The sequence below is a fragment of the Homo sapiens genome, chromosome X, assembly GCF_000001405.40.
Source record: "Homo sapiens chromosome X, GRCh38.p14 Primary Assembly".
Taxonomy (NCBI): Eukaryota; Metazoa; Chordata; class Mammalia; order Primates; family Hominidae; genus Homo; species Homo sapiens.
The window spans coordinates 42,452,723-42,468,260 of NC_000023.11; the positions used below are offsets into that span (position 1 = coordinate 42,452,723).

Genomic DNA, 15,538 nt, shown 5'->3' on the forward strand with positions numbered 1-15,538 from the left:
TTAAACTACTATACATGGATACTAGGATTACACAATAAGGAAATGGACGGCAGATGGTGGGAGCTAGTTTTCTCATTGTTGGAGCAGAAAGGTTACAGATAAGGAGAAAAGAGTAGAATAATTCATGTGGTAATGGATTGGAATTAAAGACATTAGTATGAACTCATGATTAGTTTAATATAGACACAGATAGATACATACAGAAATGTTTACAGATATGTGTATATACAGCATTTATATATACAAATGTATTTCCTTGTGCTGTCAGTTTACAGGGCTAGAACCAAAAACACTCCAGTAACAGTAGTCACACATAGTGCACAGATCTTGGTTTCTAATACCATTTTTCGATAAAATAAACCAGGGCTCCTGGGAGAAATGGCTGATTCTAGGACTGGGGCAGGAAATATGCAGATGATCCTGGAACATTTTGTACTGCTAGAAAATAAGAAAGTACTCAAAAAAAAAAAAAAAAGAAAAAAGAAAAGAAAAGAAAATCCACAGTGGTGGAAGTGTGTCAGAAAGACACAGGAGTCAACTGAAAGAGCTCCCAATGGCTGAAAGTGGAATGATTTGAGGATCAAAATAAATAAAGCAGTATTGGATTATAAGCCAAAGTATAAAATAAATATCCATGAGTTCATACTGACATAATAAATGATTGAATAAATAAATGGGGAAGAATATACAAAAATCCCACGTAGAAGAATTCCAGATAATTTACGTAGATACTCCCCTTCAAGAATTCTCACTTATATGTGGACACTAAAACAATCAAACTCAAAGCAACAGAGAGTAAAATGGTGGTTACCAGAAGCTGGGGTTTAGGGGGAATGGTGAAATCATGGTCAAATTATACAAAGCCTCAATTAGGCAGGAGGAATAAGTTTTTTTTTCTTTTTTTGCTTTGAGATATATTGCACAGTGTGGTGAATATAGTAAAAATAATATCAAACATTTAAAAATTGCTAAGAGACTAAATTTTAAATGTTCTCAACACAAAAAATGTTAGGTATTTGAGGTGATGGGTAGGTTAATTAGCTTGATTTTATTATTCCATATTGTAGTCATAAGTCAGAACATCATTTTGTACCCCATAAATAGGTATAACTATAATTTGTCAATTTATATTTAAAAAACAAAAAAAGAAACAATGTATTAATATCGGTTCATTAATTGTTACAAATGCGCTATACTAATATATGATGTTAATAATAGGGGAAACTGGGTGTGGGATGTTTTGGAACTCTGTACTATCTTAATAACTTTTCTGTAAGTCTGAAACTATTTTAAAATTAAAGAAAGTTTATTTAAAATTGCAGTGCCAAAATAGAATATTCAATTTTTTTTAGATATGAGACCTTTATTTTTTAACACAAAGGAGTTGCTCTGGAATCTATTGCTAGGGCAGAGCATTGGGAATTCAATGCGCTGGTATTATTCACAAAGTCCAGATTTTATCAGCAAAGTCTTCCCATCTTGTTCCTCTGCCTTTATTAGCATTTGCAACTCTCTCAATTTAGCATCGTTCACAATGTCATTACCATGCTGGTTATTTCCTCTTCCAGATCATTAAGTTAAAATAGACCAGCTCCGACACCACACCCTATGGCAGTTTTGGGACCTTGTCCTCAAATGGCGGCAGATCTGTGAAGTTAGAAACCAGCTAAATAATAATTATCTGTAAATGGCAATTTCCTAACTTAATTGGTTGAATTTCATTCTGCAGGTGGTGATATTAAAGCAAACACTTTCCTGCTGTCCAAACAGACACACTCTGGTTCTGAATTATGATGGAAAGGTAACCAAGTGAGCTTGTTGTGGCATATTATTTGTCACTCCCCAGGGCTAATTGTTTGTATCTTAGAAAGCTGATCATTATCAGATCAGTATTTCCATAATCCTCTTTTATCACTTTATACTACTTTCCTGTATGTAGAGTGTTTAGTAGAAACTAAACCACATGTCTGTCACCAACTGCATTCTTCCTCTGGACTTACTAGTCATACAGAAAAGTACCCCTATTGCAGGCATAAAGCTCAATGAATTCTTAAAAGGTGAACACACTCTTGTAATCAGTGTAATCAGGACCCAGATCAAGAAACAGAACATTACCAGCACCCAGAAACCTGTCCAGGCTTCACCTGCCACATCCTCAATATCAAAGAGTAACCACTATCCTGATTTTGAAATAATAGATTTATTTTGACTATTTATTGCATATTTTGAACAAATTGAATTATAGCATCCATTGGGTCTGACTTCTTTTGCTCAACATTATGTTTGTGATATTCATCCATGTGTTGCACGTAGTTGTAGATAATTCATTTACATTGCTGTATAGCATTCCATTGTGTAAATATACCAGAATTTATCTGTTCAATTGCTGTTGTGCATTTGGGTGGTTTCTAGTTTTTGACTTTTAAGAATAATACTGCTATTTAACCTTCTAGTTAGCATGTATTTTTCGGTGACCATATGAATGCATTTTTGTTGGGTATTGTTTAGCTTTGGCAGATATGTTAGGCAGTGTATAATTAAATACTTGGAGCTGAAATTCAGATAAACCTGGTCTTAAATTTGGCTCTACTACTTACTAGGAACTTGGACAAGTTACCCAACCTCTCTAGGCCTTGCCTCTTGTAGTCTGTCAGGTGAAGATTTAAAAAGTTCCTGCCTCGTAGGGCTGCTGTTCATATTAAAAGAAATAATGTATGGCCATGATTTAATACAGTGCTTGGCATAGAGCAAGCATCAATAAATGTCAACCATTGTGATTTTTTAGTGTTATTTATTGAAAAATTGTTCAGTATTATTTAAATTGCAAACAGAGGTGAAATAAACAGATTATTTACAGAAACGTTTTTCACTTGTAAGATCTTGAAAAAATGTGTTCCGACCCTGTGAATACTATTCTTAAGACCTCTCCACCCAGCCACGCCCCAGCTATTGTTCCTTACTCCCTCAAATTCTTAGCGCAAGGACATGCTTGCAGTTAAACCTTCCCCATCCCACCGGCTGCCATAGAAGCTGAGAAGAAAATAAGGGGAATAAGTCTTCATTTCTGTCAGTTTCCTTGTGGGAAGGACTGAAAGGATATTTGATACCTGGGACTCACTGCCAAATTTGTATCCATTTTGAACACTTCATCTATTCTAGATTATTCAGACCAGATCTTCATTATTAAAAATATATTTCATAGTATTATGCAAATACTATGCGGTTCATGTTGAAAATGTCACATATAAAAGATACCCATATCTTTTTGTGTAAAAAAAAAAAAGCACTCTTTTCTTTCAATATAAATAATTCATGCTTTTGTTACAGGTAGTTAGGCGTGGGTGGGGCAGGAGAGGGCTCTCCCCCCACCCACTAGAAAAGTCAGGTGATGATTTGGCAATTATCGCATTGCCTCTCTTAAAATGATAATTCGGCAGCCAGGGAGAGACTGATGGTCCACACCTGTTAATTATTAATTAAAACTGTTAACTGAATGCAGACGCCAGGGAGAAACAGCTTCTTGGGCATGCATATTAAGAGACAAAAATGGCGAAGTATGATCCTTCCAGGTACATTCCACTGGAAAAAGGAAGAAAGCCTCAGATGGGCATGCCTGTAACTCCCTAAACACACTGCATGAGCTCACTTCTCAAGGGTAAGGAGGGCTCTGTGCATGAGGGCAGCCCACTGTAAGGGAAGAATCATGGTAAAGAGGCGAGCTTATGAAAGTCCCAGGATCACAGTTAAATGGGGCACTTGTCCGCTCTTTAACCTTTCACGTGCACGCTTGGGTCTCTTCCAAGCGCACCTGACTTTCTTTCCTGTTCTAAGGCCTTTTAAAATAAACTTCTATTCCTGCTGTGGAACTTGTCTCTGTCTCTTTTTCTGATTTTGTCCCTCAGTCGAATTATTTCTTCTGAGGAGGCAAGGACTGAAGTTGCTACAGACCCCTAAGGACAGGCCATCGGTAACACTGGGTAAATCAGATCTCTTCCACGGGTAAGACTTTCTATAAAAATATTGAAAAATACAAGAAGTAGTTTTGTATGCTGTAAATATTCTTGTATGAGAAGAAGAAAATGAAAAATATTTGTAATCCTATTGCCCAGAGATTTCTGGGTAGTCTTTTCAGACTCAAATAAATAATATTTCCATTACAAAAATGTAGAAAATTTGTTAAAACATAGGAAAGCAAAAACAAAACAACAAATAATAAATCCCTGTGTTCCTAAGATATAAAACAAAATTTCAACAGAGCTTGCCATTCCATTTTTTCCCCTCCTCTTTTCCTCTCTCCTTCCCTCCTTTTCTCCTCTCCTTTCTCTTTCTTTCCTTTCTTCTCTCTCAATATAATAGCATCATTTTATAATACTCTTTTGTAGTTTGCTTTTTAAAAACCTTTTATGGGCATGTCAAATATTTCATATTTCAATAAATATTCATCTAAAACTTGATTTTTGATGACTGCATAACATTCTATCTTATGAATAATTTGCCTAACAGTTCTCTAGTGTTGAGCATTTATTTTGTTTATACTTATTCACTATTATCAAGAAGGCCATGGTGAACTTTGTTGTATATACATCTTTTTGCATCTTTGATTATTTTAGGATAATTTTATGGAAGCTGAATCAGTGATTCAAAGTTTATATACATTAAAAATATTTTGATAACCATGGCCAAATTGCCTTCTAGAAAGCTTATGTCATTTTAATTTCTACTATCAGTTTATGAGAAGCCTATTTCATCATGCCTTTGGCAGTCCTGAGCATTATAACTTTAATTTTTACAAATGTAAAGGGTAAAAAAAATCATTGTTCTTTTATTTTTCTTTGATTAACAGGGAGGTTGAATTTTTCTGGATTTTTAAAAAATTTTTATTCTATGAATTAGTTTTTTATGCCCTTTGATGATTATTCCTAATGTGTTTATGTTTTTCTTGTTGGGTTATTGGCGTTTTATATCTTAAAGGATTTTTTGCATGCTTTTTAACGTATTTTTAAATATCTTAAGGGACTAATATTTGCTTTTCTTATTTATTTTTAATATTTTCCTAATTCATTATATAACATTCATGGTGTCCTTGGATATACAAAAGTTCTAATGCTTTACGCCAAGAATCAAGTCTTCTTTTTATGTAGTCGTATTTTTAGCTGCTTAGGTTATAATTTCTTACATTATTTTTATACTTAGTAATCCCTTTTCAGTCAGAAATCAATGAAGTTGTCACTTATAGTTTCTGCCTTTTGCAAAAAAAATGGTTTTGTTCTTAACATTTGACTCTGATTTGTCTGGAATTTACTTGACAGTACGAGATTATATTATGAGACAGAGATCTAACATTCATTTCTCCAAATACATAGTTAATTTTCCAAACCCTATGCATTAAATAGAACATCTAATTCCTATTGCTTTGTGATTCCTTCTTTATCACATTTGAAGTTATAGTATATACTAAAGTGTATTTGCTCCCATTCATCTGTCTTTTATTTATGCAACATATTTTTTAATTTCATTTTTTATTTCAATAGTTTTATTGGGGTACAGGTGGCTTTTGGTTACATGGATGAGTTCTTTAGTGGTGATTTCTGGGATTTTGGTGCACCTATTACCTGAGCAGTGTACACTGTACCCAATATGTAGTCTTTTATCCCTAACCCCCCTTCCACCTTTCCCCTCAAGTCCCCAGAGCCCATTATATTATTCTTATGCCTTTGCATCCTCATAGCTTAGCTCCCACTTACAAGTGAGAACATAAGAATTTTGGTTTTCCATTCCTGAGTTACTTCACTTAGAATAATGTCCTCCAGCTCCACCCAAGTGGCTGCAAAAGACGTTATTTCATTCCTTTTTATGGCTGAGTAGTATTCCATGGTGTATATATACCACATTTTCTTTAACCCCTTGTTGGTTGATGGGCACTTAGGTTGGTTCTCTATTTTTGCAACTGCAAATTGTGCTGCTATAAGCATGCAAGTGCTTGTGTCTTTTATATATAATGATTTCTTTTCCTTTGGGTAGATACCCAGTAGTGGGATTGCTGGATCAAATGGTAGTTCTTTTAGTTCTTTAAGGAATCTCCATACTGTTTTCCATAGTGGTTATGCAACATATTTTTACTGAGTACCTAGACCTACTGTGTCCCAGACCCTATGGTTGTCCTGGAACACATGTTGCTGAACCAGACAGACAGTGTAAACTCCATAAGGACAAGGAGAATCTCGTTGTGTTTCTTCCCCCACGTGCTTCTTAACATCAACTTAATTTGAAAGCCTTCAGAAGGTGAGAAACAAGTCTTCATTTTCCATGCACTCTCCATGGTGTTTTTGCCAGGGCCAAATGGACTATAGGGCTTCATAGGAAAATCCATCAAAAAAATGTTCTACTCCTTTCCTCCCACCTTGACTTAGCAAAGGTATAGAGTCTCTTTTTCAAGATGCAGCCATGGTGAATGAGAACATTAGATCTAGAGTCAAGAAACCTGGGTTTGAATTGTGATTATGTACTAACTTCATGCCCTTCAAAAAATATCTTCACTCCTTGGAAACTCAGTTTCCTCATCTTTAAAATGGAGTTAATAGGCTGGGTGCAGTGACTTATGCCTGTAATCCCAGCACTTTAGGAGGCCAAGGCAGGCAGATCACTTGAGGTCAGGAGTTCGAGACCAGCCTGGCCAACATGGTGAAACCCCGTCTCTACTAAAAATACAAAAATTAGCCAGGAGTGGTGGTGCACGACTGTAATCCCAGCCACTCAGAAGGCTGAGACACGAGAATTGCTTGAACCCAGGAGGCAAAGGTTGCAGTGAACCGAGATCGTGCCACTGCACTCAAGCCTGGGCAACAGAGTGAGACTCAGTGTCAAAAAAAAAAACAAAAAAGTAAAAATAAAAAATAAAAATAAAATGGAGTTAATGCTTATAGGAATCTTTGAGTGTGAACTGAAAATTGGTGTTAAAACTCTGAAAATTGTAAAATGTCATGGAGATAAAAATTATTATTTTCATTTTTAGTCAAACTAAAGTACAAATAACCTGAAAGCAGGGCTCATATCTTGCTGCCTTTGTGACCCCCTCTGCCTAAGTACACTATTTACTTAGTACTTGTACTGACAGGAAGCCCTAACCAAATATTTATTGAATACATAAATAAATTCCCCTGCTCAGGTAGATGCTCTTCTAATATAACCTAATGGAAACACCCCCTGCCAGAAAGCCTAAGCAAATAACTCATTATTTGCTCTGGATTTTAGTTGGCTTTAGTAGATTATATATGTATCCTGATACCCCAGAGTTTGGGAGCCAACTTAAATATTGTTTAAAAGAATAAAAAGGATCTATAAGATAACACATTAAGCCTTTGATATTTGAAAGAGATACTTCCCTAAACCCTCACAAATCTCCAAATTTGTAAATACTATGATGATGCACACTTTCCATCACTGAATACAGTAAAATGTAACTAAAATATTTGTGATCAAATTGTTGGTGATTCTGTAAGTCCACTGGCTCTTTAGACTTAAGTTCAACTGGTTGGCCTTTGCTTTCTTTTTGGAGCTAGTTTCTCCTGTTAGCTCCATAGTCTGCTCTGCTAACAGGCACCAGCAGACTTCTTGAACACTGAATCTAGGATGAACAGAGCTTATGCCCAAATTGACCTCCCTCCTCAACTTTAAATCTTTTCTATCAGGATAATAATTCATAGATCTTAATAAAATTGATGAGGCCAGATGAATAGCCAGGAGGTTGAGGAGACTTGAAAGCCGAAAAAAGTGGGTATTTTGAAGTCATTGGTCCTGTCAGAGTTTTAATCTCATTTTACAGATGAGGAAAAGTAGGACTCAGGAAGATTTAATAACTTGCCTAAGGTCAAGGAGCTGAAAGAATCAGTACTGCAAACTCTGCTAGATCTATATTTCATACTCCTAACCATCTTGTTCTATGGAAATGCCACGGACTCTTTTGGATGCCAATTTTTTCCTGTTAGGTATTCAATAAGTGCCCAGATAAATTTAAGAATTGTGGAGAACGATTTAGACTTGCTATGCAACTGGAAGGTGAATTTTATTCTGTTTCAAATCTCTCTGTGAACAATAGGAAGGATTAAGCAGCTGGTAAGCAATTAGGGGTCTGAACAGCTGAGCCCCACACTGAGCAAGACAGACAGTCTGCCAAGTGGCAGTGAGGGCGGGCCCCGGGTGCTCAGTGCCAGTTCAATCTGGCAACTTGGTGACCCCAGGGATTCTGATTCCTGCAGCCCCACAGCACCTCCACTACTATGTTTAATAATTTCCGCATCTGTCAGCAGATACCCAGACATCCCCAATTCTCATGCTGATGGGCATTTGCTCTCAAATGAAAACTGGGATGAGGAAGGCCTAGATGTCTGGATCCCCAGCTAAGACAGGGGTTTGTTACTGTGGTGCCAGAGTTCTCTTTTGTGCCTCTTCTCAGCACCTGCTTGGCATGTTGAGGATACAAAATGTGCCTCCCTATCATAATGCACCCACCCCATGCCCTACCCCAAGTTATCTGAAAGGGAGGCCTCGTCTCACTTATCCTGTTTTCTTAGTTAGGGTAAAGAAGGTAGGTCCATCCTCCCATCAACCCCAGCTCTCCTCTGGGAGAACCAAACCCTCTCAAGAGTCCTCCCCTTTCAAATTTGGAAGCACAGGTCTCTTTTAAACATTGCAAGGATTATCTATTACTCATCAAATCCTATGGTCTTTATTACAATATGCCAAATATGCATTTTGGCCAAATGCTAAAAGGCCAGTGTCAAAATTCATATTTGGTCAAAGCCAAGGCCAAAGTGGAAAATAACCCTCATAAAATGACCTTCTAGGTCATAAGGATACATCTGAAAATATATCAAAATATTTATTATTAAAAATCTAGTAGTCACCTTTCATGAGATTGACATTATAAACCAGGGACAATATTTTCTCAGGTACTGTCATCTGCTGGATTGTTTGTGTGGTCACTGTACTGTACAAGTGTGATACCAAATGGATGCTCACTTTCAAATGAGGTTGGTGGATAAACAAGATTTTTTGAGGCTTGTTTTGTCAAGTAGGATTCTGCTGGGGCTAAGGCTGCCACCACATTAGTGAGCCTTTCTTTCTCTCTCCTAGTAACCAAGTAAGGTTAAGGATATTTCCTCCTCATCTCTTGGACTTGAACACTGGTTCATGGTGATGCACTTTAACTGAAGCAATCCTCCCCAAATGAAGCTCTGTGCATTGCTTGGGGAAGATGCTTTCTTAAATTTTCAGAAACAGTCTTACAAGTTATCTTGTTTCATATTATGAATGATATGAATAATCATGATTATTCATATCATTATAATCGTATTTCATATGATTATAATGAAAATAATCTCCCAAAAAATAGATGTGTGATGTAGTCTAATCTCTGTTGTTTGCCCTTGTATTGTTACTGAATTTAAGTTTTTATAGAATACTAGTTGGCTTAGAAAGGAATTAATGTTCTTTTTAAACTTATCAACTAATACTCAGTATGTATAAACTGTCAATCTACATCTCTACTTATTTAACTACTTGGAAGTTCTTAATAGTTGTTTTTGAATATAAAATTAACAGCTTTCACATCACCATTAATTGTAGTAGCATTTAACTTTTGCAAAGATAAATATGCATTCATACTTCAACGGTTTGAAAGAATTTCCATGTACAAAGCCCATAAGGAGATTTTTTGTTCCATGCTACATTAGAATATCTACCTCTAAGTTTCCATTAGAATTTGAATGTGAACATTCTGATAATATCAATTAATCAGGGTGACATGTCTTGTTCATCTCACAAATGTTATGTTTACTAAATATGAGGGTAATATGCATCATGACGTGATCATTGATTGTTCACAAATGACCAGAAATGATATAGGTGTTTAGTTGTTTTTTGTTTTTGCCTTCCCAGGACCAAGACTAATGCAGATTTTGTCTTAATACTGAATCTAAAACGTCATGTTGGATACATCTTTAGTTTTCATCTTAAATACTTTTAGGACCGTGTTCAAAGCAGCCCTCCTTTAAAAGGTCATCCCTTCACTTGACCTTGATGTTCCTGCTAACTACTGGTCCACTACTTCCCTTCTTTCACGGGCATACCTCTCAACAAAGGTCTTCCCTCTTTCCTTCTATTCCACAGTACTCACTCATTCATTCATCAAAGATTGTCTGAGCTTGTGTAATGTGGCAGGCAATGTGCTAGGTCCTAGAGATACAGCTGAAAGTAAAACACTGCCTTCCCTCAAAAAGCTTATATTTCTAGAGCTGGAAAGATGGGTAAACATGGGATTACTATATATAGTCTGTGATTAATGTTATGAGGCAAGAGAACACAGGGTGCTGTGGTAACTCCTAGGAAGGTGGCACCTAACCCAGCCTAGAGAGGCAGAGGTAACTTGCTGGGGTTTCCCACTGAGGCTGGTTAGAAGAAAGCCAAGAAAACCCCAAACCAAACCAGACATAAGCATTAATTTGGTTCTTACCCTTTTTGATGAACCCAGTTGGTACTTGGTGTGATTAAATGACCTTCTTGTAAAATCCAATGGTCCTTGTTTTTGTTTTTGTTTTTTCTTTCAATGGCCTCTGAGACTTGAAACCATGCACATTTTCCCTTTCCTGATACTCTGGCTCTCATGGCCTCATCTGCTCCAGTGTCCCCTATCCTTGTTGACAACTTCTGTGCTTCCCTTGATGATCTCTCCTTCTCTTCTCTCTATCTGTGTATGGAAACACACCCAGGGCTCCACCTGTGGCCCCTGGAATTGTCTTCTCCTTCTAGGACAGTTAATCAACCTTCAAGGTTTCTATACCTTTAGTCCAAAACTTCCCTCATTTAATTCCTTTGCACCATACCTCGGACTACCTGTGGATATGTCCCATTGTCTGTCCGTATGTCTATCTCACTCCTATCCTGGCCCTCCTCCTGTAGCAAAGCCCATCACTAGGAAGAGAATGGACATTGGCCATCAACATATCAATTACAATTGGTTTTCTCCTTCTGGGAATGGTAGCAATGGTTTCATTTCAAGCCTCGTTTCAAACTATAGGATATAGATTTTATCCCGTTAGAGGAATTTTTTACTCCAGCAGACATATGATGTAGTTTTTTGTTTTATTTTTCTGGCCGGGGCTGCGTGCACTTCCCAACTCTCTTAAAATAATAGCACTGAAAATACATATGGAAACAGGTTTATTGTATATTATTATCAATCAAAACTGAAGAATGTATTTAAATATATACAGAATGTGTATGTGTGTGTGTATATATATATATACCTACATACATATATATACTATATATATACACACACACATATATAATGTATATATTTGTTATTTATTGCTACTTAACAAATTATGCCAAAACTTTATGGCTTAAAACAACAATTTATTATCTCATACTTTCCATGTGTCTGGAATTTGGGAACAGCTTAGCTGAGTGGTTCCAGCTCAGGGTCTCTTGTGTGGTTAGAGTCAGAATTTTGGCTAGGTCTGAAGTCTCTGAGGACTTGACTGGGGCTGCAGGATCTGCTTCCAAGATGGCTCACTCACATGGCTGTTGGCAGTAGGCAACAGTTCTCCAACATATGGGCTACTCCATTGAGCTGCTTGAATGTCCCCATATGGCAATTGGCTTCCCCTAGAAAGAGTGATGAGACAAAGTGGGAGAGAGAGCAGGAGGAAAGGGGTGGGGGGTAGGGGTGGGAAGAAGCAATAGAAAACTGCAATACTTTTTATGACCTAGTTTCAGAAATCACACACCGTCACATCTGTCACATTCTATTAGCTAGAAGCCAGTCATTACATCTGACCCACTCTCAGTGGGAAGGGAATTAGGTTCTACCTTTTGAAGAGAGGAGTGTCAAAAACTTTGTGGACATATTTTAAAACTACCACAATTTGTGGAAAGATATCTGCAATAATAAATGCAACATTTTAAAACAATGATTTTATCTGGGAGGTGAGATTATCAATTATTTGTTTATATTTTTCCCATTTTATGAACATAACTATATTAAAATAATAAAAATTTTAAAATAGACCAAAATTGTATTATGCTGATGTTGTATAACACTGAACATATTTCCTGAAACATCCTCAAAGGATTTACTGGAAATGGTTTGGCTAGAAATGTTTGCATGGCGCAGAACTTCTGAAGTACATATTATTGTTATCCTCAGTTTATCGGTGATGAAACTGAGGTATAGAGAGATTAACTGAGGTTAACAAGCTACCCAGGGTCCTAGAGTAAATAAATACGTGGTATAGATAACATGGAAACCTAGGCAACAGAGTTCTATAGCCCAAGCTCTTAAACTAAATGAAACATCCACAATACATATTGGACTGTATAGAATCACACTGTAGATCTTACAAACAATAGCTCAGAGATGTGAAAGAGTCAAGGGCTCATCTTAGTCAGGGAAATTTTCATTAAAAAGGTGGACAGTGAGCTGTGCCTTAAGGAAAAAGTGAGATTTGGGTAATCTAGGGTTGACATTCCAAATGAGGGACACAGCCTGGCTGAGGCTTAAAAATGGGTTGGGGCCTGGCCTTTCCAAGCATGTCCCAGTGAGAAGATTAGTGCAGGTAAAGTTGAGTGATTCCTGGTAAGCTGTGTGAGTTAAGGCAAAATGGATTGAGATGGTGGTAGGGGTGGGATGCCAGATTCAGAGGAACCCCAGATGCAGGCAGGAGGTCAATTTGTATTCATACACAGACTTGGAGATCTTGGCCCTTTACCATCAGGAAGGAACTTAGAAATGTTGTGGCTCGTGCCCCTTATTTTAAATATAGGAAATTATATGGAAGAAAATGATTCATTCACCCCAAATGTATTTCTTATTTATTCTGTTATGTTAAAGGTTGTTGGACTGTTAAAGCATTTTTTAAAAACATCTTAATTATTACATTTTTACCATTAATTTTTTTTCTAGTACAAGGAATAAGGAATCCTTTTACTAAATTAGGCTACTTCAGGCTATAGCTTATTCCATACTAATTGAACCTATAAGAATTCTGCGTGCTAGACTAGGACACTAGATTCAAAGAAGATCCGTTTCCAGAATTACTCAGTGCACTTCATGCTCACGTGGGGAGATTTACTTACTTATTTGTTTGTTTGTTTAGTATATCATGTTCTGGATGCATAGGGCTTCTCAAACCAGATATACAAACCTGTCTGCAAGGACTAAGCAGTTTAAAGTCCATGAAAACTTGGAAATTATCAAAGTTAGATGTTTTCAGCAAACATTGGAATTTTATTACTCTCAGAAATAGTTTCCAGATGGAAAATTTAAAAATATCCAAATAATGAAAGACACCCTATTTGGTTTCTTTTCTGTGTATCAAAGTCTATGTTGAAATAAAGCACTTAAAGAGCTGGGATCAGTTCTCCATGTTACTTTGTACCCATTTCACACTGTGGGCTCTTAGATGATCTCATAATGTTAATTACCTAGAAAGGCTGGATGAAATAATTATTTTCCTTCAATGACTAATGATAGCTGGTGGATTTTTATCGCCTCCCCCATGATTTTTTCAGCAAGGATTCAAAGAGGTTTTGCCACAAACTAGATATGGGTTCCAACTCCTGGATCATTTTGAATTCGCTAGTTCAGACTGAAGATGACAGGTGATTCAGAGTACACACACACACACACACACACACACACACACTGCCCTGGGAACTAGGCAGGATGTCTTTATCTTGCTGGGTAATTTCCAGGGTACCAACCTTGGCTTATACATGGTCTCTAGTAATTTCCAAGAATGAATTATAGCTTGCTGTTTCCACCTCTCATCTCTTTCCTCCCTCCCTCCTTTCCTTCCTTTCTAGCAACAATGTAAGAGAAACAATATGCAATTATTGCTGGGGCGCTTCGAAGCCAATCAGGGAAAAGAACTGTATATGTGACATTGTCAAAGAGGTCAGGCCATTAGCAAGGCAATTAATGTACCCTATGATGCCTCTCATTGAGAGTCAAGTCTCCTTAATAGCTAATGTGGGGAAAATAATCTTCAAGCATCCATTACAGCTCCCAGATAAATGCCCAAGGGAATTAGTTCACTGGCTACCTCTAGTTGGGAACACTGTTCTCCCCTGACCTGAGGCCTTCGTACTCAGTCACAGCTCTAGCCTCTCTTAGGTGACTCACCTGGCTCAGATCCACATCCAAAGCACTGCTTAGCTTTGCCCTCTTCTCACTCTTCCTGCCATCTGGGGGGCCTCCTATTCACACACTCCCAGGATTTCCAATGGACTCTTTCTGACTTCCTTCCCAAACCCAGAATCATGCAATCAACCTTAATTGTCACTATTTTATGTTACCACTTCTCAAGCTTCTTATTGAGTGCCATTTCCTCTGCAATTTTTTTTGCCTCTTTGGTTTTTCTTCAGTTGTACTTTCTATCCTTCAGCACTTTACTATGGTATTTTTTAAAAAAGAAAATTGCCCCTGCTAATGGGGATTAAATTGTGGGTGTATTAAGGCACACATTGAGCAAATGTTTTCCAAAGGCAGCATGTATTATTTCCCTCTTTCTGTATTTTGTATTTTTTTAAATGGCAATTTTATTTTGTAGTGAAATAATGCTATAAATGTAATATTGGGGGGAAAAGCTTTAGCTCAATACTTGGTTATTCAGTTATAATTTCTGTCACATATTAATCAGATTTCTGCTGAGATAATGATGCATAAAAAACAATGCTCCAAATCTCAGTAATTTACCAAAAAAACCACAGTTTTTTTTCCCTCACTCTTTGGTCTGCAGGTTGACTGGGAGAGCAGCAAGTAGGTGCATGTGAGTGAAACACTGACATGGGGTGGGGCCAGCAAGGAACAGGTGGAAGAAGACGAAGACCCCAGAGGTGGGCAGGTGGCAGGTTTACAAGGGCCTTATGCAACAAGGAGACAATGGGGAACCCCAGAGCTTTTAAAGTAAAGAAGTGGCAGGATTTTATTTTAGAGAATAACACTGATGTTGTATATAGAATGGGCCAAAGCTGGAGTCCCCTGGAGTCAGATGTCCACCCAGAAGGGTGTCACAGGAGTTGAGGCAGGAGCTAAGGAGCCTATGAAGTAGGACTTTGGGCCGTAAGGAAGGGATGCAGAGCACAGATACTAGAAATTCGTTCCAGGAGGCAAAAATCGTCAGTCTATTCTATGTAGGGAGTAAGGGGAGGAGAGGCTAGGGTGAAACCAACATTCAAAGGCCATCTAGGAAGAGGGTGGTGCAGCCCTGGAGAGAGTAGGCGAGTTCAGTAGAAACCGAGGAAAAGGAGGACCTTGGCATCCTGCAGACCCCTCCAGGATAAAAAGGGAAGGCGTGAAAACTTGTTTCCTTAGCCAGAAAATTAGTTCAGAATGTGGGAGAGGCAACTGACTACAATGATGATGATGGCAGCAATTACCATTCATTAGGTTGACAATGAGCCAGATGTTGTCTCTTTTTATTGCATTATTTCATTTGAATCTCACAACAATCCTATGGAATAGGTACTATTACTA

At 37.5% G+C, this 15,538-nt stretch overlaps 1 annotated feature.

The window, feature by feature from the left end:
* Positions 13,980-14,480: an enhancer, noted in NCBI's record as "H3K27ac hESC enhancer chrX:42325954-42326454 (GRCh37/hg19 assembly coordinates)". NCBI's record gives its function as "activates a minimal SCP1, AML or CMV promoter by ChIP-STARR-seq in primed H9 embryonic stem cells {active_cell/tissue: H9 hESC(primed)}" and the evidence as "EXISTENCE:reporter gene assay evidence [ECO:0000049][PMID:30033119]".